General features: G+C 41.3%; 1 long non-coding RNA gene across 2 annotated transcripts in view, besides 7 other annotated features; it reads left to right on the top strand.

The window, feature by feature from the left end:
* Positions 1-25,840, top strand: part of FIRRE (firre intergenic repeating RNA element) — a 139,119-nt gene that overhangs the window by 83,633 nt on the left and 29,646 nt on the right. The gene's annotated exons all lie outside the window — the stretch shown is intronic.
* Positions 37-386: an enhancer, noted in NCBI's record as "active region_29956". NCBI's record gives its function as "activates an Ori minimal core promoter by ATAC-STARR-seq in GM12878 lymphoblastoid cells {active_cell/tissue: GM12878}" and the evidence as "EXISTENCE:reporter gene assay evidence [ECO:0000049][PMID:35858748]".
* Positions 557-616: an enhancer, noted in NCBI's record as "active region_29955". NCBI's record gives its function as "activates an Ori minimal core promoter by ATAC-STARR-seq in GM12878 lymphoblastoid cells {active_cell/tissue: GM12878}" and the evidence as "EXISTENCE:reporter gene assay evidence [ECO:0000049][PMID:35858748]".
* Positions 5,705-5,954: an enhancer, noted in NCBI's record as "active region_29954". NCBI's record gives its function as "activates an Ori minimal core promoter by ATAC-STARR-seq in GM12878 lymphoblastoid cells {active_cell/tissue: GM12878}" and the evidence as "EXISTENCE:reporter gene assay evidence [ECO:0000049][PMID:35858748]".
* Positions 12,440-12,559: an enhancer, noted in NCBI's record as "active region_29953". NCBI's record gives its function as "activates an Ori minimal core promoter by ATAC-STARR-seq in GM12878 lymphoblastoid cells {active_cell/tissue: GM12878}" and the evidence as "EXISTENCE:reporter gene assay evidence [ECO:0000049][PMID:35858748]".
* Positions 17,745-17,804: an enhancer, noted in NCBI's record as "active region_29952". NCBI's record gives its function as "activates an Ori minimal core promoter by ATAC-STARR-seq in GM12878 lymphoblastoid cells {active_cell/tissue: GM12878}" and the evidence as "EXISTENCE:reporter gene assay evidence [ECO:0000049][PMID:35858748]".
* Positions 17,905-18,054: an enhancer, noted in NCBI's record as "active region_29951". NCBI's record gives its function as "activates an Ori minimal core promoter by ATAC-STARR-seq in GM12878 lymphoblastoid cells {active_cell/tissue: GM12878}" and the evidence as "EXISTENCE:reporter gene assay evidence [ECO:0000049][PMID:35858748]".
* Positions 18,245-18,534: an enhancer, noted in NCBI's record as "active region_29950". NCBI's record gives its function as "activates an Ori minimal core promoter by ATAC-STARR-seq in GM12878 lymphoblastoid cells {active_cell/tissue: GM12878}" and the evidence as "EXISTENCE:reporter gene assay evidence [ECO:0000049][PMID:35858748]".

Below are 25,840 nucleotides of genomic sequence, written 5' to 3'. Positions count from 1 at the left end.
CATGAAAGCCAGCTGACTCTTGCTCCAAGGGGCAATTACATGAGACAGATGCCCCCAAGAGCCTCCATTTGTGTTTGAGTGGGTTCCTGCAGTCCTGCCCACACTAGGAACCGAGACCCCGCCCCACGACTTCCTGTGCCAGGACCGCTGGGCAGCTGCTGCTTCATTGCAAGCCCCTCACTCTCCAGGTTCTACACCAAGATATCGCCAATGTACAGGTTTCTCTTCAGGAGTTCCAGGAGAAGCCAAGAAGACCTAGCCTGGAGCCCAAACCTCTTCCACCACCGCACAGATCAGACCTTCCCCCACAGCCAGGCTTCCCGGAAAGAAGCTATAATGGCGTATTGCGTTATTAAACGATTTCCTCACGGTGGCAGTAGTACTCCATATTTTCAAGAAAGCCCTCTCTTGGCGCCCTTTTCTCCCGCCCTTCCTGGCTGAAAAAAACGCCACCCAGAGACAAAGGCACCACCCAACATGGCTTCCTGGAGATTTGTCCAGTTTGGTGCAACCTGGTCTTACTGTTGAATTTTTCCTTTTTTTACTCCGTGTGAAAACAAAATGAGGCCTAAACCACCCAGGTTCATCAGGAATCTTGTTCTTTCAGAAATTAAATACACTCCTCACTGAGTCTATCTGGGTATGATTTACTTCACACAGTTACAGGTCCAGCAAGTTTCATGGCATAAAATTGTCTCCTTAAGGTGATAAATTGTGTGGATGCAGGTACAACAACAAAGGTAGATATCAAAGAGATAGATAACCAATACATGAAATTTGAAACAAGCTAAGTGAAAGAAGGAAGTTGAAAACGGCCACTTGTTATGATCAGTAGTGAGGGAAAGCAGATGAGTGTTTGTCAGGGACTGGGCAGAGAGAGAGCCCAATGCGGAATGACTGCTTAATGGGTCCGGGGTTTTGTTTTGTGGTAATGAAAATGATTTGCCACTATGTAGTGGTAATGCTTGCACGGCATCTTGAATGTACTAAATGCCACTCAATTTCACACATTTTAATGGCTAATTTTATGTTATATGAATTTTACAAACTCAGTTCTAAAAAGTGCCAATACTTTTAAACCTATCATTATTTCTATGGATAATTAATTATATTAGAAAAGTGCTCAAATTATCAGTGAAGAAAACTTGTTTATAACAGTTATACTACTGGGTGGCCGGGCATGACACCTCATGCCTATAATCCTAGCACTTTGGGAGTCTGAGATAGGAGGATGGCTTGAGGTCAGGAGTTCGAGGTCAGCCTGGTCAACATAGCGAAACCCCATATCTTTTTTTTTTTTTTGAGACAGAATCCCGCTTTGTCGCCCAGGCTGGAGTGCAGTGGCGCGATCTGGGCTCACTGCAACCTCCGCCTCCTGGGTTCAAGCAATTCTCCTGCCTCAGCCTCCCAAGTAGGTGGGACTACAGGCGTGTGCCGCCACACCCGGCTAATTTTTTGTATTTTTAGTAGAGACGGGTTTCACCATTTTAGCCAGGATGGTCTCAATCTCCTTACCTTGTGATCCGCCCGCCTCAGCCTCCCAAAGTGCTGGGATTACAGGCGTGAGCTAACCTGCCCGGCAACGAAAACCCATATCTAAAATAAAAAGTAAAAAACCTGTTATACTACAGAGGAAATTGAACATTAGTTTTAAAAAGTCCATATTATATGTGCATAGGGAAAAGTGATTATTTCTTCTCACTATGTTTGACCTACCATATGTTTTCTGCTTTATAATTTCTTAAAGTTCTTGTAGAATAAAATACAAAAAAATTAAAGCACTCAAAAGTATATATTGATGTAGATATATTCAAAGAGCATAAAGTGATGCTGCAGATTTTGTACAAATTTCAAACATTATGCATCCAATTATATTTAAACTGTATCAAGTGTGTGTGTATTTATATCTGTCTGGAGATATATTACAAAATTTTAAATGCCATATATATATATGAGACTGTCTCACTGTTGCCTAGGCTGGAGTGCAGTGGCATGATGATCATGGATCAATGCAGCATCAATCTCCCTGGGATCAGGTGATCTTGCCACCTCTGCCTCCTATACGTACCTGGGGCTTCTGTTGTACCCCACCATGCCCAGCTATAGTTTGTATTTTTTGTAGACACAGGTTCTACCTACATTGCCAGGGCTGGTATTGAACTCGTGGGCTCAAGCTGTCTACCTGCCTCGGCCTCCCAAAGTGCTGCAATTACAGTTGTAAGCCACCGCGCCCAGCCAATGCTATAAATTTTTAATCGTGGTAGATGTTATACTGAGTATATGTTTGAAGATGGCATTTTTGGTGAACAAATTCACATTTTTAATGCATCGTTATATAAACAGAGACACTAATGAAGCATTCTAGCTGCATGTAAGCTGTGTGAATGCATCCATCTTACAGTTTTCTTAGGTTACACATCTAGCTGACTGAAAGTGAGAGATGCCTATTTCAATTACCATTTATTAAATTTTTTATCCTTTTGAGATTTTAGAGATAAAATTTTAAGGTAAGAATTAGCAATAAAATTTGAAGAAGAATTAAAAATCCTTATTTTCATAGGTATAAGTATGTAACATACATATGTTTATATTGTATATAAATATGGATTTATATGTTTATGTATGTATAAATATATATATTAAATTTAAAAGTGCAAGTTCAGAACTTATGTTTTGATGAATAGTCCAAACAAGAAGTTCTTTGCAAATATTTTATTGTAAAAAATTCAGATATTGCAAATTTTTATGAGAATATCAAGAACTCCTTAAGAATCAGATGTGGAAATCTTAATCTTCATCATTATGTATGGATAAATTCAAGTAAAATGTAAATTTATTGTGGTGTTTGACTGTATATATAGAACTTTTTTATCTGTGTATTGAAAAAATAGGAGTAGGCCAGGCACAGTGGCTCATGCCTGTAATCCCAGCACTTTGGGAGACCGAGGTGGGTGGATCATGAGGTCAGGAGATCGAGACCATCCTGGCCAACATGGTGAAACCCCGTCTCTACTAAAAATACAAAAAATTAGCGGGGCGTGTTGGCAGGCGCCTGTAGTCCCAGGTACTTGGGAGGCTGAGGCAGGAGAATGGCGTGAACTCGGGAGGTAGAGCTTGCAGTAAGCCAAGATAGCGCCAATGCACTCCAACCTAGGCAACAGAGCGAGACTCCCTCTCAAAAAAAAAAAAAAAAAAGAAAAGAAAAAAATATGAGTAAATATGGAAACGGTTATCAGTGTTTAATACACAGTTTTATGACGTCGCATTTCTCTTCATCAGCAGTTGGTTACTTTTCACTTTGCAAATTCCATGTCTTTGTTACTAATAAGAAAATATAGGACTGATTCCTAACTGAAAAACAGTAAGACACATACACAACAAAGTCATAGAACACAGTTGTAAGTCATAGCCTTGTAATGACACTGGAAAATATTTCTGTTCCAATGTTAAATAATGAAACTATGAGACAAAATCCCGTGACCCATCTGATTAGGACTTATAGTCATTCCTGTATTTGTGTCCATTCAAGTAGGGTTGTGTGTGTCTTGTCAGAATTGAGAGCTATCTGAGCCCTTATGTTAGAGCCCCACTAAATAGCCGCCCCTCCCTCAACATATAAGGCCTAATGACTAGGTCAGAATATGGAGTAAAACTCCCAGGGAACCTGGGGAGGAAGTCAGGACAAGAAACACGTGGCCTTGTGCCTAGATTTGCTCTTCTCCAAGACCTTAGGGGTAAGCTTTTTTTTTCTTCTCTCCTTAGGCATGGAAAGCTAAGGTCTTTCCAGAATACTACAAGAGTACTTGATATCATAATAAAACACTATAGATATGATGCTGAGTGAGTAAGAGTAGAAATGGGAAGACTTGGTTGTGCAGAAACTAAGTTATTAAAAGGAGGAGATGCTTGATGAGGGTGAGTGGATTACATCTCAGTTTAATATCCAATGGAAACTAAAAGCAAATTGCTGAGTGTAATATGTTTACAAAAATTGAGCAAAATGTTGGGGAGCCATAGTTTCTGGTGTCTTTGTCTCTTCATGGCCTTTTTTTAGAAACATGTAGTGATGTATCTGTAAAAATTCCACAAAAAACTGATAGTGTCTACTTTACTAAAGTAATATTCCTGAGGCCCTATGTTAAGATTTACCTTTATTTATATTGAAGGTGTGAAATGTTGAGATATAAGACTTAGTACTGGGCCGGGTGGGGTGGCTCACACCTGTAATCCCAGCACTTTGGGAGGCTGAGGCCAGCGGATCACGAGGTCGGGATTTCGAGACCAGCCTGACCAACATGGTGAAACTCCATGGGCGTGGTGGTGCACGCCTGTAATCCCAGCTGCTCAGGAGGCTGAGGCAGGAGAATCCCTTGAACCCGGGATGCAGACCTTGCAGTGAGCGGAGATCCCACCACTGCACGCCAGCCTGGGCGACAGAGCGAGACTCTATCTCAAAAAAAAAAAAAAAAAAAAAAAAAAAAGAGTTAGTACTGGTGACATTCTAATAAAATCACGATCCTCAAATGTTTGTTAAAATACACACTCGGGGTGGGTGGGCGCGGTGGCTCACACCTGTAATCCCAGCACTTTGGGAGACCAAGGCGGGCGGATCACGAGGTCAAGAGATCGAGACCTTCCTGGCTAACACGGTGAAACGCCGTCTCTACTAAAAAGTACAAAAAATTAGCAGGGCGTGGTGGCGGGCGCCTGTAGACCCAGCTAGGCGGGAGGCTGAGGCAGGAGAATGGCGTGAACCCGGGAGGCGGAGCTTGCAGTGAGCAGAGATACACCACTGCACTCCAGCCTGGGCGACAGAGCGGAGACTCCGTCTCAAAAAAAAAAAAAAAAATACACTTGGTGTGATCCAAATCACAGTGTACACAGTAATCCACTTTTAACACAGATCAAGATTCCTGATGAGGGCGGGTGGTTTAGGCCTTGGTTTCATTTGAACTGGAAACCAAAAGAAAAAGCTCAGCAGTAAGACTAGCTGGCTGCAAACTGGGCTAAATGTAAGGCACCCATTCTGCAGGGCCTTTGTCTATAGGTGGCGTTTTTTCAGACAGGAGGGGCGGGAAAAGAGGGCTCTGGAACAGTGCTTCGTCCCATACCTGAAGCACTACTGCCATCGCGAGGATGTTGTTTAACAAATCCCTACGCCATTACGGTGTTCTCCTGAGGACTACTTGTTGGGGAAGTTCTCTGTGGGGAGGTGGAAAAGGCTTGCTCCATGCTGGGAGTCCTAGCCTTCTCGTCTAAGGCCTTAAAGGACACCAGGACTTTGGCGGTGTCTTGGTATAGAACCTGGAGTGTGAAGGTTCTAATACCAAATCCTGTAAACTTCCCTGGAATAAACCTGTTGTTTGTGCGCGGTACTGGTGCTACCAGAGACCCAAAGACCCGTAGCAAGATGCTAGTTCGAGAAAGCCTGCTGACTCTTGCTCCAAGGGACAGGAAGAAGAGACAGATGCCCACAAGAGCCTCCATGTGTGTTTGAATGGGTGCCTTCAGTCCTGCCCACACTTGGAGGAACCGAGGCCCCGCCCTACGTCTTCCTGTGCCAGGATCGCCTGGCAGCTGCTGGTTCACTACAAGCCCCTCACTCTCCTGGTTCTACACCAAGCTACTACCAATGTTAAGGCCTCTCTTCAGGTCTTAGAGGAGAAAGCTAGAAGACCTAGCCTGGAGCCCAAGCGTCTGCCACCTCCCACAGTTCAGACTTCCCCCCACAGCAAGTCTTTCTGGGAAGGACGCTGTAATGGCGTATTGTGTCTTCAAAGGATTTCCTCACGGTGGCAGTCGTGCTTCACATTATTAAGGAATCCCTATCTTGGAGCCCTTTACTCCCGCCCTTCCCGTCTGAAAAAACGCCACCCAGAGACAAAGATGCCACCCAATATGGCTACCTGGAGATTTGTCCAGTTTGGTGCAACCTGGTCTTACTGTTGAATTTTTACTTTTTTTTTTTTTCCATCTGAAAGCAAAATGAGGCCTAAACCACCCATGCTTCTCAAGAATCCTGTTGTTTCAGAAATTAAATATACTCCTCACTGAAGCTATCTGGGTATGATTTACCTCACACAGTTACAAGGCCTGGAAGTTCCATGGTATCAAATTGTCTCCTTCAGGTGATACATTGGATGGATGAAGGTACAAAAACAAAGAAAGATATCTAAGAGATAGATATCTAAGAGACAGATATCAAAGAGATAGAAAACCAATTCATGAAGTTTGAAGCGCTAAGTGAAAGAAGCAGTACTGAAGCAGGAGATGTAAAAGAAAAAAAAAAGGGAGAGAAAAGCTGGTTCTCTGTGCTGGGCTGACTCACTCCAAGGCCCAGCGATAAGTAGGGCTCTGTCAGGACTTTGATAGCACTATCAGCAGAGTGGGGGCCGAGAAGGAGTGGGCTCTAGAAGCAGGGATAAGAAAAACAAGTTATTTGGCCAGGCACGGTGGCTCACACCTGTAACCCCAGCACTTTGGGAGGCCGAGGTGGGAGGATCACCTGAGATCAGGAGTTCAAGACCAGCCTGGCCAACATGGTGAAACCCCGTCTCTACTAAAAATACAAAAATTAGCCAGGCATGTTGGCAGGCAGCTGTAATCCCAGCTACTTGGAAGGCTGAGACAGGAGAATCACTTGAACCCGGGAGGAGGAGGTTGCAGTGAACCGAGATCACACCATTGCACTCCAGCCTGGGGGACAAGAGCAAGACTTCATCTAAAAAAAAAAAAGAAAGAAAAACAAGTTCTTTTTATCAGTTTCCCCTTTGAAATTCTTTCCCCATACCATTATTCTTTGTTCTGCTCTCACAACTATTTTTGTAACTGTTTCTGCAAGCTTGTAAGGATTTTGTAAGTTCCTGTTTTCCAGCTGTGCAGTTATGGCAAAGGTCACAAGACATGCCTGAACTGTAAAACCTGTCACTGTTTGATAAACTGCCTTTGTTCTGCTGTAAGCTTGCTTACCGGCCTTACAGGTTTTGGGCCCTTTTCAGATATATGTATAAAAGTCAAGCCCTCTCTTGGTTTGGGGCTCAGCCTTTGGATGTTAATCTGCTGAGTCGGTGACCACCTAGTAAAATCCTCCTGTTCCACCCATTGGTCTCTCTGGTCTCCTGGTTCCCACAACAAGATGAACAAGGCCACTTGTTGTGATGATCAGTAGTGAGGGAAATCAGATGAGTGTTTGCCAGGGGCTGGGCAGAGAGTGGAATGGGGAATGACTAACTAATGGGTCCAGGATTTTCTTTTGTGGTAGTGAAAATGATTTGCCACTACATAGTGGTAATGCTTGCACTGCATTGTGAGTGTCCTAAATGCCATTGAAATTAATACATTTTAATGGTTAATTTTATGTTATATGAAGTTTACAAACTCAGTTTTTAAAAGTGCCAATACTTTTAAAGCTATCATTATTTCCATGAATTATTAATTATATTTGAAAAGTACTCCAGTTATCAGTGAAACAAACTTGTTTTAACAGCTATAGTACATGGTGGCCAGTCAAGGTGCCTCGTGCCTGTAATCCTAGCACTTTGGGAGTCCAAGATGGGAGGATCGCTTGAGACCAGTGGTTCGAGATCAGCCTGGTCAACAGAGTGAAACCCCATATCTAAAATGAAAAATACAAAAAAAAAAAAATAAACAACAACAAGAAGTTATACTACAGGGGAATTTGAACATTAGTTTATAAAAGTCCATATTATGTATATATAGGGAACAGATCATAGTACCTAGCACAGACCTTTAAAAAGTGATTATTTCTTCTTACTATGTTTGACCTACCACAAGTTTTCTACTTTATAATTTCTTACAGTTCTTCTAGAGTAAAATATAAAAAATTTCAAGCACTCAAAAGTATGTATTGATGTAGATATATTCAAAGAATATAAGGTGATGCTGAATATGTATATGTATATATACACACATATATATATACACATATATGTATATACACACACATATGTATATACACACACACACACACACATATATATATATATATATACACACAGATATGCATATATATATATTTTAGACAGCATCTTACTCTGTTGCCCAGGGTGGAGTGTAGAGGCATGATCATGGCTCACTGCAACATCAGCCTCCCTGGGCTGAGGTGATCCTCCCATTTCCGCCTCCTACGTAGCTAGGGCTTCCATTGTAGGTCACCATGCCTGGCTATTTTTTGTATTTTTTGAAGAGACGGGGTCTCTCTACATTGTCAGGGCTGGACTTGAACTCCTAGGCTCAAGCTATGCACCTGCCTAGGCCTCCCAAAGTGCTAGAATTACAGTTGTGAGCCACCATGCCCGGCCAATGCCATATCTTTTTAATCGTGGTAGGTGTTATAGTGAGTATATGTTTGAAGATGATATTTTTGACCAGTAAATTCATATCTTTAATTCATCGTTATATAAACAGAGACACTAATGAAGCACTCTAGCTCCATGTGAGTTGTGTGAATGCATCCATCTTACAGTTTTCTTAGGTTACACATCTAGGTGACTGGAATGTGAGAGATGCCTATTTCAACTACCATTTATTGAATTTTGTTATCCTTCTTTTGAAATTTCTTTTTTGTGTGTGTGAGATGGAGTCTCGCTCTGTCACCAGGCTAGAGTGCAGTGGCTCAATCTCAGCTCACTGCAACCTCTGCCTCCTGGATTCAAGTGATTCTCCTGCCTCAGCCCCCCGAGTAGATGGGACTATAGGCATGCACCACCATGCCTGGCTAATTTTTTTGTATTTTTAGTAGAGACGGGGTTTCACCATGTTGGCCAGGTTGGTCTCAATCTCTTGACCTCGTGATCTGCCCACCTCAGCCTCCCAAAGTCCTGGGATTACAGGCTTGAGCCACTGCGCCCAGCCTGAAATTTTAAAGATAATGTTTTGTGGTAAGAACTAGGAGTAAAAATTTGAGAAGTATTAAAAATCCTAATTTTCAGGGGTATAAATATGTATAATACATATGTTTATGTTGTATATAAATATGTATTTATATGTTTATGTATGTGTAAATACATACATATTTTCGATTTAAAAGTGCAAGTTGAGATCTTATGTTTTTATGAATAGGCCAATCACAAGTTCTCTGCAAGTATTTTATTGTCTAAAGTTCAGATATTGCAAATTTTTTATGAGAATATCAAAAACTCCTAAGGAATCAGTGGTGAAACTTTTAGTTCTTTAACCTTATATATAGCTAAATTGAAGTAAAATGTAAATTTATTGTCGTGTTTGACTGTATATATAGAACTTTTGATCTGTGTGTAAAAAATTGGAGTAAATATGGAAACGGTTAATATTGTTTAATACAGTTTTATTACATTGGTTTTCTCTGGATCAGCACATGGTTATTTTTATTTTTATTTCTTTCCTTTTTTTTTTTTTTTTGAGACGTAGTTTTGCTCTTGTTGCCCAGGCTGGAGTGCAATGGCATGATCTCGGCTCACCGCAACCTCTGCCTCCCAGGTTCAAGTGATTCTCTTGCCTCAGCCTCCCAAGTAGCTGAGATTACAGGCATGTGCCACCACACCTGGCTAATTTTGTATTTTTAGTAGAGACGGGGTTTCACCATGTTGGTCAGTCTGGTCTTGAACTCCCGACATCAGGTGATCTGCCCTCCTAGGTCTCCCACAGTGCTGAGATTACAGGCATGAGCCACCGCCCCCCTCCCCCCGCCCCCTTTCTTTTCCTTGAGAGGGAGTCTTACTCTGTCGCCAGGCTGGAGTGCAGTGGGGTGATCTCGGCTCACTGCAACCTCTGCCTCCCAGGTTCAAGTGATTCTCCTGCCTCCGCCTCCCGAGTAGCTGGGACTACAGGTGCGCACCACCAGACTCAGCTAATTTTTGTGTTTTTAGTAGAGATGGGGTTTCACCATGTTGGCAGGATGGTCTCAATCTCTTGACCTTGTGATCCACCTGCCCCCACCTCCCAAAGGGTTTTTTTTAACTTCATTGCAAATTCCATGTCTTCCTTACTAATAAGAAAGTATAGGACTGATTCCTAGGTGAAAAACAGTAAGACACATACACAACAAAGTCATAAGAGGCAGTCCTAAGTCATAGCCTTTTTGTTTGTTTTGAGACGGATGGAGTCTCACTTTGTTACCCATGGTGGAGTGCATCGGCACGACCTTAGCTCACTGCAACCTCTGCCTTGGGTTCAAGCAATTCTCCTGCCTCAGCTTCCCAAGTAGCTGGGATTATGGGCATGCACCACCATACCTGGCTAATTTTTTTGTATTTTAGTAGAGGCAGGGTTTCACCATGTTGGCCAGGTTTATCTCGACCTCCTGACCTCAAGTGATCTGCCCACCTCGGCCTCCCAAACTGCTGGGATTACAGGTGTGAGCCAGCACACCCAGCCAGTCATAGCCTTTTAATGACATTGGAAAATATTTCTGTTCCAATGTTGAATAATGAAACCATGAGACAAAATCCTGTGATCCATCTGATTAGCATTTATAGTCATTCGTTTGTGTCCATTCAAACAGGGCTGTGTGTGTCTTGTCAGGTTTAAGAGTTACATGGGCACTTATGTTATAGCCCCTCTAAATAGTGGCCTCCCGCTCAACATATAAGGCCTAATGACTAGGTCAGAACATGGAGTAAAACTCCCAGGGAACCTGGGGAGGGAGTAAGGACAACAACCACGTGGCCCAGTGCCTAGATTTGCTCTTCTCCAAGACCTTGGGGGTAAGCTTTATTTTTAATTCTTTCTTAGGCATGGATCCTTAAGGTCTGTTCCCAATACAACAAGACTATTTGTTATCATAATAAAACACTGCTGATAGGATGCTGAATGAAAAAGAGTAGAAGTGGGGAGATTTGGTTGTGCAGAAACTGAGTTCTTAAAAAGAGGAGATGCTTGTTGAGGGTGAGTGGATCTCATCTCAGTTCAATATCCAATGGAAGCCAAAAGCAAATGGTTAAGAGTGGAAAATGGTTACACATATTGAGCAAAATATTAGGTATCCGTAGTTTCTGTTGTCTTTGTCTCTTCATGGCGTTTTGTTTTGAAACGTATAGTAATGCATCTTTAAAAATTCAAACAAAAAGATGATAAGTGTCTACTTTTCTAAAGTAATATTCGTGAGGCCCTATTTTAAGGTTTACCTTTACTCATATTGAAGGCATGAAATGTTGACATATAAGACTTCGTACTGGTGACATTCAAATGAATTCACCCTCCTCAAAGGTTTGTTAAAATGCACACTTGATCTGATCCAAACCACAGTGTACACAGTAATCCACTTTCAATACAGATTTATTTTTTCATGAAATTAACAATGTATGTACATATTTAAAGATATTCCTGGAAATAATCCAAAAGTTCTTAAGTTGCCTTGACTAGTTGTATGGTAGTGGTTTTCTTCATTATTAATACATGGATTTTTCTTAATCTTTGTCAAGCATTATTCTTTAATTTACTAGTTAATTCTTATACCTAAAAGACATTATAAAACTCTCAGAGACACACACAAACACAACCACACACAGCCCATAAAGTCTCAGGGAATACTTGAAGAATATGTAGTGGCATGGGCACATGCTGTGTTTTGATGTTAAATGATGAGACCATGAGTTGAAACTCTGAGTCACCTTGACAGGAATTGAGCATATGTACTATGAGTATCATGCCATGTGGAGTATACATGGCATGCAATAAAGAGCGTCACCTGGTTTCTCCTCTAATGGCTCATGCCAAATTGTTGCCTACGATGTACCACATAAGGCTCTTAGAATAGGAAGAATTCCCTGGATGCCTGACAGGGGAGCCAGGGCCAAGATCTCTGGGATTTTTAAATTGTTGCTGGAGTTCCTTTCCAAGCTTTCAGCCCTTTTCTCCTTTTTGTGCGTTCATACACTGAAGCTATCCCCTGAAAAAGACAGTTTGATGCCACGGAAATTATTGGACCTGTAACTCTGAAGTAAATGAAACCCACACAGACTAGGTCAGTAGAATAATTTCTTAAAGAACAAAATTCCTGATGAGGGTGGTTGGTTTAGGCCTTGGTTTGATTTCAAGTGGAAAACAAAAAGAAAAAGCACAGCAGTAAGACCAGCTGGCTCCAAACTGGGCAAAATAGAAGACATCCATGTTTGGTGGCTCTTTGTCTATGTGTGGCGTTTTTTCAGACAGGAAGGGCGGGAGAAGAGGGCTACGTAACAGGACTTCTTGGCATATCTGGAGCACTACTGCCATCACGAGGAAGACGTTTAACGAATTATAGTCGTTTAACGCCATTACAGAGTTCTCTGAGCACTACCTGTTGGGGTAGGTGTGGTCTGGTAAGAGGTGAAAGAGGCTTGGCCTCCATGCTGGGCGTCCTTGCCTACTTGTCTAAGGCCTTAAAAGAGACCTGGACATTGGCAATATCTTGCTATAGAACCTGGAGTGTGAAGCTTCTAATAACAAATCCTGTAAACTTCCCTTTGAATAAACCTGTTGTTTGGTCACAGAGACCCAAAGACCCATAGCAAGATGCCAACATCAGAAAGCTTGCTGACTCTTGCTCCAAGGGACAGGAAGAAGAGACAGATGCCTACAAAAGCCTCAATGTGTGTTTGAGTGGGTTCCTGCAGTCCTGCCCACACCAGGAGGAACTGAGGCCCCGACCCACGACTTCCTGTGCCAGGACCGCCTGGCAGCTGCTGGTTCACTCCAAGCCCCTCACTCTCCGGGTTCTACACCAAGATACCACCAATGTCTATGTCACTCTTCAGGCGTTAGAGGAGAAGGCAAGAAGACCTCGCCTGGAGGCCAAGCCTCTCCCACCTCCCAACAGATCAGCCTTTCCCCACAGCGAGGCTTCCTGGGAAGGAGGCTCTAGTGGAGTATTATGTCTTTAAGCGATTTCCTCACGGTAGTAGTAGTGTTGCACATTTTCAGGGAAGCCCTATGTTTGAGGCCTTTCTCTTGCCCTTCGTCTATGAAATAAGCAAACCAGAGATAAAGGCGCCACCAAACATAGCTGCCTGGAGATTTGTCCAGTTTGGTGCAACCTGGTCTTAACTGTTGATTTTTTTTTGGTTTTGTTTTGTTTTTCCAACTAAAAACAAAATTCAGCTTAAACCACCCGTGCTTATCAGGAATTTTGTTCTTTCAGAAATTAAATATACTCCTCACTGAGTCTATCTGGGTATGATTTACTTCACACAGTTGCAGGTCCAGCAAGTTCCATGGCATCAAATTGTCTCCTTCAGGTGATAAATTGGGTGGATGAAGGTACAATAGCGAAGATCCATATCCAAGAGGTAGATGTCAATAAGATAGATAACCAATGCATGAAATTTGAAACGCGCTAAGTGAAAAAAGCAAGACTTTGGAAAAGACCACTTATTGTGATGATCAGTAGTGAGGGAAAGTAGATGAGTGTTTGCCAGGGGCTGGGCAGAGAGTGGAATGGGGAATGCTTAATGGGTCCAGGGTTTTCTTTTGTGGTAATGAAAGTGCTTTGCCAATAGATAGAGATAGTGCTTGCACTGCATTGTGAAAGTACTAAATGCCACTGAATTTCACACATTTTAATGGTTAATTTTATGTTATATGAATTTTACCAACTCAGTTTTAAAAAGTGCCAATAATTTTAAACCTGTCATTATTTCCATGAATAATTATATTTGAAAAGTACTCAAGTTATCAGTGAAGAAATCTTGTTTTAACAGTTATACTACGAGGTGGCTGGGCTTGGTGCCTCATGCCTGTAATCCTAGCACTTTGGGAGGCTGACATGGGAGGATTGCTTGAGGCCAGGATTTCGAGATCAAACTGGTCAACATAGGGAAACCCCATATCCAACATTAAAAAACAAAAACAGTTGTACTATAGGGGAATTTGAACATTAGGTTATAAAAGTCCATATTATATGTGCAGAGTGAACAGATGATAATACCTAGCACAGACATTTTAAAAGTCATTATTTCTTCTCACTATATGAGACCCAGCATGTTTTCTGCTTTGTAATATCTTAAAGTTCTTCTAGAGTAAAATATAAAAAAATTCCAAGCACTCAAAAGTACATATGGATGTAGATATATTCAAGGCATATAAGACAATGCTGAAGATTTTGTACAAATTTCAAACAGTATACATCCAATTATATTTAAACTGTGTTGAGTGTGTGTGTATTTATATCTGTCTGTAGGTATATAACAATATTAAAAAAAAAAAAATATATATATATATATATATATATATATATATATATATGACAGTGTCTCATTGTTGCCCAGGTGAGAGTGCAATGGCATGATCATGGGTCACTGCAGAATCAACCTCCCTGGACTCAGGTGGTCGTCCCATCTCCGCCTCCTACATAGCTGGGGCTTCTGTTGCACGCCACCATGCCTGGTTATTTGTTGTATTTTTTGTAGATACGGGGTCTCACTACATTGCCAGGAATGGTCTTGAACTCCTGGGCTCAAGCTATCCTCCTGCCTTGGCCTCCCATAGTGTTGGGATTACAGTAGTGAGCCACTGGGCCCGGCCAATGCTATATATATTTAATCATGGTAGGTGTTATAATGAGTATACGTTTGAAGATGGTATTTTTGGCCAACAAATTCAAAACTTTAATTTGTCATTATATAAACAGAGACAGTAATAAAGCATTCTAGCTGCATGTGAGTTGTGTGAATGCATCCATCTTACAGTTTTCTTAGGTTACACCTCCAGGTGACTGAATGTGAGAGATGCCTATTTCAACTATCATTTATTGAATTTTGCTATCTTTCTTTTGAGGTTTCAAAGATAAAATTTTAAGGAAAGAATTAAGAATAAAAATTTGAGAAGAATTAAACATCCTAATTTTCTAGGTATAAGTATGTATAATACATATGTTTCTATTGTATATAAACGTGTTTCTATTTTATGTGTGTATAAATATACATATATTTTAGATATAAAAGTGAAAATGGAGAACTTATGTTTTGATGAATAGTCCAATCAAGAAGTTTTTGCAAATATTTTATTGTCTAAAATTCAGATATTGCAACTTTCTTATGAGAATAAAAAAACCTCAGGAATCAGATGTGAAACTTTTAATTCTTCAACTTTATTTATATATCTAAATTCAAGTAAAATGTAAATTTATTGTGGTGTTTGACTGTATATATAGAACTTTTTATCTGAGTGTTGAAAAAATGAGAGGAAATATGGAAACAATGATCATTGTTTAATACAGTTTTATGACATTGCTTTTCTCTTGATCAGCACATGGTTATTTTTAACTTCTTTGCAAATTCCATGTCTTTGTTACTAATGAGAAAATATAGGACTGATTCCCAACTGAAAAACAATAAGACACATACACAAGAAAGTCATAGGGCACAGTCCTAAGTGACAGCCATTTAATGACACTGGAAAATATTTCTAATTCAGTGTTAAATAATGAAACTATGAGACAAAATCCTGTGATCAATCTGATTAGTATTTACAGTCATTCCTGTGTTTGTGTCTATTCAAGTAGGGCTGTGTGTGTCTTGTCAGGCTTGAGAGCTATCCGTACCCTTATGTTAGTGCCCCACTAAATAGCATCCTCCCCCTCAATGTATAAGGCCTACTGACTAGATTAGAACATGGAGTAAAATTCCCGGGGAACCTGAGTAGGGAATCAGGACAAGAACCACGTGGCCTGGTGCCTAGATTTGCTCTTCTCCAAGCCTTTAGAGGTGAGCTTTTTTTTTTCTTCTCTCCTTAGGCATGGAAACCTAAGGTCTCTCCCCATTACTACAAGACTATTTGATATCACAATAAAATACTGCAGATATGATGCAGAGTGAAAAAGAGTAGAAATGGGAAGATTTGGTTGTGCAGAAACTGAGTTCTTAAAAAGATGAGATGCTTGATGAGGGTGCATGGATTACATCTCAGGTTAATATCCAATGGAAACCAAAAGCAAATGGTTAAGAGTGGAAATTGTTTACACAAATTGAGCAAAATGTTAGGTAGCCATAATTTCTGATGTCTTTGTCTCTTCATGAACTTTTTTTTAGAAATGTGTAGTGATGTAGCTGTAAAAAATCAAAGAGCTGATATTGTCTACTTTACTAAAGTAATTTTCCTGAGGCTGTATGTTAAGATTTACCTTTATTTATATTGAAGGCATGAAATGTTGACATATAAGACTTAGTACTGGTGACATTTGAATTAATTCATGCATCTGAAAGTTTCATTAAAATACACATTTGGTCTGATCCAAACCACTATGTACACAGTAATCCACTTTTTACACAGATTTATTTTTTTGCATGAAGTTAATGTATGCACATTTTGAAAGATGCATGGAAATAATCCATAAGTTCATGAGTTACCTTGACAAGTTGTATGGTAGCGGTTTTCTGTGTTAATACATGGATTTTTCTTAATCTTTGTCAAGCATTATTCTTTAATTTACTAGTTGGAGAATACTGTAATCCTTATACTTAAAAGACCAATTATAAAACTCTCAGAGACACACACAAACACGAACACAAACACACACCCCATAAAGTCTCAGGGAATACTTGAAGAATATGTAATGGCACGGGCACATGCTGTGTTTTGATGTTAAATGATGAGACCATGAGATGAAACCCTGAGCCACCTTGATATGAATTGAACATATGTTCTATGAGTATCATGGCATTTGGAGTATATATGGCATGCAGTAAGGAGCGTCACCTGGTTTCTCCTCTAATGGCTCATGCCAAATTGTTGCCTATGATGTACCACATAAGGCTCTTAGAATAGGAAGAATTCCCTGGATGCCTGACAGGGGAGCCAGGGCGAAGACCTCTGGGATTTTTAAATTTTTTGCTGGAGTTCTTTTCCAAGCTTTCAAGCTTTTAGCCCTTTTCTCTCTCTCTCTCTTTTTTTTTTTTTGAGACACTCTCACTCTGTTGCCCAGGCTGGAGTGCAATAGTGCGCTCTCCGCTTACTGCAACCTTCCCCTCCCAGGTTCAAGTGATTCTCCTGCCTCCTCCTCTGGAGTAGCTGGGATTACAGGCCTGTGCCACCACGCCCGGCTAATTTTTGTATTTTTAGTAGAGACAGGGTTTTGCCATGCTGGCCATAATGGTCTCGAACTCCTGACCTCGGGTGATCCGCCAGCTTCGGCCTCCCAAAGTGCTGGGATTAAAGGCGTGAGCCACCGCGCCCGGCTCCTTTTCTCTTTTTTGTGAGTTCATCCACTGAATGTATTCCCTGAAGGAGACAGTTTGATGCCTCGGAAATTACTGGACCTGTAACTCTGAAGTAAATCAAACCCACACAGAGTAGGTCAGGAGGATATTTAATTTCTGGAAGAACTGGATTCCTGATGAGGACCGGTGCTTTAGGCCTCGGTTTGATTTCAAGTGGAAAACAAAATGAAAAAGTGCAGCAGTAAGACTAGCAGGCTCCACACTGGGCAAATAGAAGGCATCCATGTTTGGTTGCGCCTTTGTCTATGAGTCGCGTTTTTTCAGACAGGAAGGGCAGGAGAAGGGGGCGGTGCTCCAAGACAGGGCTTTCTGGCATATCTGATGCACTACCGCCATCGCGAGGATGTCATTTAACGGATCCCTACGCCATTACATGGGTCGTCTTGTGAGGACTACCTGTTGGGGAAGGTCTGGTCTGTGGGGAGGTGGAAGAGGCTTGGGCTCCATGCTCAGAGTCCCTGCCTTCTCGTCTAAGGCCTTAAAAGAGACGTGGACATTGGCGGTACCTTGCTGTAGAACCTGGAGAGTGAAGGTTCTAACAGCAAATCCTGTAAACTTCCCTTGGAATAACTGTGTTCCTTGTGAGCGATATTGATGCTACCAGAAACCCCAAGACCCATAGCAAGATGCTAGCAAGTGAAAGCCTGCTGACTCTTGCTCCAAAGGGCAGGTAGAAGAGACAGATGCCCACAAGAGCCTCTATGTGTGTTTGACTGGTTCCCTACTGTCCTCCCCACACCGGAGGAACCAAGTTTCCGCTCCACGACTTCCTGTGCCAGTACCTCCTGGCAGCTGCTGGTTCACTCCAAACCCCGCACTCTCCAGATTCTACACCAAGATACCGCCAATGTCCCTGTCTCTTTTCAGGCCTTAGAGGAAAAGGCAGGAAGACATAGCCTGGGGGCCTACAGATCAGCCTTTCCCCCACAGGGAGGCTTTCCGAGAAGGACGCCATGATGGCGTATTCCGTCTTTAAACGATTTCCTCACGGTGGCAGTAGGGTTCCACATTTTCAATCAAGCCCTGTCTTGGAGCCCTTTTCTCCCGCCCTTTCTGTTTGAAAAAACGCCTTCCAGAGATAAAGGCGCCACTGAACATGGATTACTGGAGATTTGTCCAGTTGGGTGCAACTTGGGTTTGTGACCCGTAGAGGGTCAGGATTGCAAGTTGTCCAGGTTCTTGGCGTTTTGAACAAATAATTGCATAAAATGCCCAGCAAAGCAAAGCAAGAATGAAGTAACAAAAGAATGAAAGCAAGGGTTTACTGAAAACGAAAGTACACTCCACACTGTGGGAGATGGCCTCAGCAGAGGCTCAAGGGCCTGGATACAGAATCTTCTTTGGTTCAAATACCCCCTAGAAGTTTCCCATTGGCCACCTCATGTAAGTGGAGTGGTCGCCCGAAATAAATCTGATTGGTTGCAGAAAGGAGACAACCAGAGGCTAAACTGAAGTTACAAAGGTCACACTCCTGTGCAAATATCTGATTGGTTGCAAAAAGCAACCAATCAGAGGCTAGGGTGAAGTTAACAAAGTTATACTTGTATGCAAACGAAGACTAGGCCAGAAGTCAGCCTAATTTGTTGCCACAGCCAATTTTCCATCTGTAGTGCAGAAAAGGTCAAAGGGAGTAGCCTCTGGTCCTTTTGTTACTTAGGCGTTGAAAGTGAGGGTTTTCCTTTCAATTTAGTTCTAGGAAGTCAGCGTAAAACAGCCTTAGGTCCCCTGCCTCCAGGCCCTATTCTCCTGCCTCATCTCCCCGCTGAGAGACTTGATCCCCATAAATCTTTATGTGAGGCAGAGGGACTGAAGAGCTTTCTTCTGTAACTGCTTCATGCCGACCTGGGGCATAGTCCCTACCTATTGGAAATCACGGAACTCTCGCCATGCTCTATCTCGTGGAGGCAGGGTAGCTTCTTGATGGCCAGGGGTGGTGTCTTCACCTGGAACTGGCTGGAACCGTGGTTGCATGATCATCTGAAGCTTGATGATTATCTAGGCGAGAGGAAATGAATTTGGCTAAAAGATTTAATGGGAACTTCAGGGGGTTGATACCTATGCTGTCAGAAATGTTTTTTATAGAGATATGCAGGAGAAAAAAAACAAAACCTGGTCTCTTGTAGAATCTATGCGTTTCCCTAAAGTTTTAGCACGAGCGACTCCATTTTGGTTTGGTTTGGTTTGGTTTGTAGGGGCCTAGTGCATGAGCTCAGTCCAAAACAATGGCCTCCCATAATTTTCTTTAAAAAATTCCCCTTTATTCAGGTTTTCACTTGAGTGAGAGTGGGACCAAAACTTAGGGCCTTAGTGCCACTCTTGGTTACTATTATTTTGGGTTTTCATTCTCAGCACGTCAGGTATAGGTTACGGTGTCCTCATGGTTGCAGATTCTTTTGGCTCTTGTTATTCCAGTTGAAAAGAAACTATATTTCATTTTAGAGATGGCTGCATGCAAGCATTTAAAACCTTTGAGAGAACGCAGCACACCAGGGAGACTATTATTAGAGGATATACCAAGAATTTGGAGTATGCCCCTTACCCAAGATCTCCATAAACCAAACCTCCTAAAACCAAACAGATCAAAGAATGAGCTAGATAAAGAGTTTACTCACTTAATGAAGCAATTTCTTCATCAATTCCCGATCACTGAATTTTTTTTTTTTTTTTTTTTTTTTGAGATGGAGTCTCGCTCTGTCACCCAGGCTGGAGTGCAGCGGCGCGATCTCGGCTCACTGAAAGCTACGCCTCCCGGGTTCACGCCATTTTCCTGCCTCAGCCTCCCAAGTAGCTGGGCCTACAGGCGCCCGCCACCACACCCAGCTAATTTTTTGTATTTTTAGTAGAAACAGGGTTTCACCGTGTTAGCCAGGATGGTCTCAATCTCCTGATGTCATGATCTGCCTGCCTCGTCCTCCCAAAGTGCTGGGATTACAGGCGTGAGCCACCTATGCCTGGCCACTACTGAATTTTTATAATCCTCATTTGATGTATTTCCCCATAGGCCACAAGTGCCAGCAGCTGCACAGATACTTTTTCTGTTTAGCCATTTCTATCCCAACTTTCACAAGAGAATTTAGAATCACTGTGCAACTGCAGCCTTTACAGTAGAATTTGCTATAGAACCTATCATGAGGGATATATTTCCAATCATTGCTTCTTTTACTCCAAATCATGGAAAAAGGACTTAACAAATGATGCCCTTTGAGAAGAGTGAAGGCCCTCTGGCAGTGTTCTCTTCAACCAATGAAATGGGCCAAGAGGAATGAACCAATGTTCTGCTTTTGACTGATTATGAGGCAATGCATGTACCATTAAAGTTTCTTACATACATTGGCCTTTATCCTTTATCTACCAAAGTATAAGCTTATCCATGTAACCTTACACTTGCAGGCTGGCTGGAAGCTCCTTCACAAATAAAAGTACACCCTATTAGTGCACATAACAGACACTTTTCCACTTCTATTGTTCACAGAGACATAAGCAAGAAAAAAACTTTCAAAGAGAAGAGTTTCATGTCACTAGAAGTCTTAATCTGTGACCTTGGGAAAGATATTCACATCAAGGATGCCATCTTCTTCTTGGGAGAAATTTCCCTGGTTAGCTTTACCTCAAGGGTTACAATGGGTGCACAGTTCCAAAAGTGTGGAGGAACCCTTCTTAGTTGCAAGACCATGAACCCAAAGCTCAAGGTCCCTAAGTTTTGTTGTAGTGTGGATGGCAAGGACAGTCTTTTTCTGATGTTCTCAGAAGATCCAAACCATAAAAAGCCTTTTTTTTAACCTGGTGAAAATACACTGTAGCATAATAATCTACTATTAGAACATCAGCTCTGTTGCATAGGAAAGCTTTTATACAACCAGAAAACATGCATTGAAATGACAATTGAATGATATCCCTTTATAAAATGTTTAAATGGCCAACCAGGTGGCCAAATGTACCTGAAACTTTAATTGTTTTCCTAGGAATATGGGATCAAGCATTGGTTATAAACTATTTTAAACAATTTTAGTATTAGCTGGTTTAACACTGTTTTCTTTATATTTAATTATTTGATTTACTTGGGTTAGTAGCTTTATACAAGGAAATTTGGTTATTTCTGTAATTTACAATAACAGCATAATAACTATAATTGTGATTGGTAGCATATATTTAGACATTAGAATTTTAGAAATCCCATACAATTTTGGAATATATATTAGTATTATTCACAAAAATATAACCTAAAGAAGATTAAGCATCATTTTGGCAATCCCATTGTTAGAAATAAATTTTCAGTGCCACAAAAGAAATAGCACTTGAACATGAGTTTTCTCAGCAAGGCAATTTTTCTTCTATAGAAGGGTGCGTCTCACAGATGGAGCAATGGCGAGAGCACACCTGAACAGGGGAGGGGAAGGGGTTCTTATCCCTGATGCAGGTAGCCCCTACTGCTGTGTCGTTGCCCTATAGGCTAGGGTTGGACTGCACAGTCTAAGCTAATTCTGATTGGCTATTTTAAAGAGAGCAGGGGTATGACCAGAATGGCGGGGTGAGCAGTTTTGGTGGGAAGGATGGTTACGGAACACATGACTAAATGTGACAGATCAGAGCGGGTAACCAGGGGTGACTCAGGATGGAGCAGGTGACCAGGGGAACAGGTGTGAACTACTGATTAGAACTGATGGAAAAGGTCATTTACTGAAACCAGGGGCAAGGAGACGAGGAGAATGAGGAAGTTAAACTTTAAAATGGGGAACAAAGAACTGAACATACTGACATACTGATTCTTTGAAGAAAAATTTAGAACTCACTGTATTTAATACCATGTACCTAATCCTGTTTACCTCTCTTTTCTGGACACTTCAGGGACCCTCTGAAGTATTCCAAAAGGCAGGTGCCAGGGAAGACAATTTTGAAACTGAAGTTTGATTTTGGGAATTCCAGATTACTACAAGTTATTTATTTTGCCAAAATGATAGCTCAGAAATTTTAAAGAAGCAAAAACCTTTTATAACCCTTTTGAATTTAGTCAACATGTTCACACAGAGAACCTCTTCAGCAAGACTAATTTCCACAATTCTTCCACCACTTCTTTGAACCTTCAGCTTTTTCCTAATTTAACTCAAAACAATCCTTTAACCCTAGGCAAAACTTGACATTTCCATGCCTTCATTTAACCTTTTACTATAAAAATACATTTTACTGTTTTTACACACCTTGCATGTAAATCTATTTCTAGTAGTTTCAATTAATTCCTAGCAATTTTACCCTTAAGGTAAAACACGGTAAGTTGCTTTACTTGTATGCTAAGTGCAGTCAAGCCTTGCCTTCTTAGTTAAGGGTGTGGTTAGTTTCATATGTCCCCAGGTGTCACCAAGTGTGAAGCAGGCAAGACAGACAGTTCTCAAAACCCAAAAAGCAGTTTGTAACATTAAAACACTTAGCAAACCTTGCATCTGACCAACAGTTTTTTTTTTTTTTTTGAGACAGAGTTTCCCTCTTGTTGCCCAGGCTGGAGTGCAATGGCACAATCTCGGCTCACCACAACCTCTGCCTCCTGGGTTCAAGCAATTCTCCTGTCTCAGCCTCCTGAGTAGTTGGGATTACGGGCTCCCGCCACCACACCCTGCTAATTTTTGTATTTTTAGTAGAGACGGGGTTTCACCATGTTGGCCAGGCTGCTCTCGAACTCCTGACCTCAGGTGATCCGCCTGCCTCGGGCTCCCAAAGCGATGGGATTACAGGCATGAGCCACCACACCTCTCCTACCAATAATCTATAAAACCATCTTTATATCCCAAAGATTGCTAAAGTTATGTGAACTAAAAGGCATTACACTCTACTTTTCTGACAAAATATTTGATTTAAGTTCTTTTTATTATTAAACAAAGTAATTTAAAATTTCAGAGGAGATTAACGAGTTTGCACACAGAGATAGAGGCCAGAGACTGACTGGTAAAAAATTCTTACCCTTTTGGCTGCATGCCAGGTTTCTGGATTGTCTCTCCCTGAGTGGCCCTGGTGACCATGCTTGACTGTATGCAAGGAAACACATTGCCATGAATTAAGAATATTCATAGTTTACAAATTTGGAGAAATTAGCCAGAGAGAGAGAAATATGACTCAAATTCTATTTGTGAGAGTATACTCAACACATTTAGAGTATCAGGAAGCCTAAAATCCAAAAAGTTAGTTTATGGATAAAAAGCTGGTGTGCTCCATTAATTCCTGATACACAATTCAATACCCTTAAGTTCACCAATATCATTATATATTCTGTACAATTAAGAAATTTACTTTAGGCACATGACCAATATGTACTCCAACAGTATCCATGTCAAATGGCGTGGTGGCTCACGCCTGTAATCTCACACTTTGGGAGGCCAAGGCAGGTGGATCACCTGAGGTGGGGAGTTCAAGACCAGCCTGACCAACATGGAGAAACCCCGTCTCTACCAAAAATACAAAATTAGCCTGGCATGGTGGCAGATGCCACCTCAACATAGTGTGAAGCAATGCAAGCATATATGTGAAATTGGCTCCACACTAATTCCAGCTTCATGCTTACCTATATTTTAAAAAAAATTGTCAAACTGCTGATACTTTTTTTTTTTTTTTTTTTTTTGAGACGGAGTTTCACTCTTGTTGGCCAGGCTGGAGTGCAATGGCACGATCTTGGCTCACCGAAACCTCTGCCTCCCGGGTGCAAGTGATTCCCCTGCCTTAGCCTCCCGAGTAGCTGGGATTACAGGCATGCACCACCATGCCCGGCTAATTTTGTATTTTTGGTAGAGATGGGATTTCTCCATGTTGGTCAGGCTGGTCTTGAACTCCCGACCTCAGGTAATCCACCCGCCTTGGCCTCCCAAAGGGCTGAGATTAAAGGCGTGAGCCACTGCTCCAGGTTGCTGATACATTTGTATAATACTTCTTATTTTACTTTAATCAAGACTAAGAACTTTAACTATGAGAATGTTCATTAGCCAAATGTCTCCAATTCTCTCAGGTTTTAAAGAATATTTTATTAATTAAACTTTTCCACAACTTTCTTCCCTACTTATAATGATTCCTTACTACATTGTTTCATAAATAATCTTTTCAAAACTGTAATTTGAACAAAATTTAGATAACTTCTGAATTAGACAAAATTATTATTTTTCCACTAATAACGTAACCCTTTCTGGCCCATTTTGCATACAAAATTACTTGTTAACTAAAATTTTTATCCTTAGTAACGTAAAATGTCAGTGAAACCCTAAACAGCAATAAATTCTGAACTATCAGATATAGGCATTTATAGATAAGAACAATTCCACAATTTTAGAAACATGTTTCCCCGTATCACAACCCTGTCTTAATTGGAAATGACCCAGATATTAAATGAGGATCAAAAATAACTTTAAGATTTTAATTTACACAAAAATTTATCTAAAACATTTACCTCATTCACCGTACTTATTTTTCCTTTTAATAAGGGAGACATGAGACATCAATCAACATATGTAAAACAAACAAGACAGGACAACTGGAGAGGAGGCGGCTTGGGAGATTTTAGATCACAGGTGGGAGACAAAGGGTTGCATCCTTTGAGTTTGTGATTACCTTTTCCAAAGGAAGCAATCAGATATGCATTTATCTCAGTGAGACTTTGAATGGAATGGGAGGCAGGCTCAGCCCAAGCCCCCAGCTTGAATTAACACTGACATTTTAAAATATCCAGCAAAGACAGTGGGAGGCCAAGGCCACAGATCACCTGAGGTCGCAAGTTCCAGACCAGCCTGGCCAACATGGTGAAACCCCATCTCTACTAAAAATACAAAAATAACTAAGCGTGGTAGCAGGCACCTGTAATCCCAGCTACTTGGGAGGATGAGACAGGAGAATTGCTTGAACCTGGGAGGCAGAGGTTGCAGTGAGCAGAGATCGCACCATTGCGTTGCAGCCTGGGCAATAGAGAACGCCATCTCAATAAATAAATAAATAAATAAATAAATAAATAAATAAATAAATAAAATATCTGGCAAAGACAAACAAAATTCAGACAAAATGTATGTCAACAATTCTGAAGGCTTTTCTATTTTTATTCCACCAATATACTTTTTTTAATTTTTATTTCACCTTTAGTGATTATCCAAGACCCCACTATAACAATTAACCCAGTGGCTGAGCACGGTGGCTCATGCCTGTAATCCCAGCACTTTGGGAGGCTGAGGCGGGTGGATCATGAGGTCAGGAGTTCAAGACCAGCCTGGCCAAGATGGTGAAACCCCATCTCTACTGAAAATACAAAAAATTAGCTGGGCTTGGTGGCAGGTGCCTGTAATCCCAGGTACTCAAGAGGCTGAGGCCAGAGAATTGCTTGAACCTGGGAGGTGGAGATAGCAGTGAGCCGAGATCGTGCCACTGCACTCTAGTCTGGGTGACAGAGTGAGACTCCCTCTCAAAAAAAGGAAAAAAAACCAAACCAATTAACCCAGCAGATTTTGTTCACGTGAATGGCCAGAGTACAACCCTTTAAATCTTTGAATTGAGAAAAAGGCTTTCAGATTTTAAGTTCTGAGGGTTTTTTCTGCTTGATCTAGTCTATCATTGAAGCTTTTGAGTGTACTTTGTATTTCATCCTATGATTTCTTCAGTTCCACATTTGCTGTGTGCCCTGGAAAACTCCG

The sequence above is a fragment of the Homo sapiens genome, chromosome X (genome assembly GCF_000001405.40).
Source record: "Homo sapiens chromosome X, GRCh38.p14 Primary Assembly".
NCBI classification, from domain to species: domain Eukaryota; kingdom Metazoa; phylum Chordata; class Mammalia; order Primates; family Hominidae; genus Homo; species Homo sapiens.
This window is presented reverse-complemented; position numbering and strand designations above follow the sequence as displayed.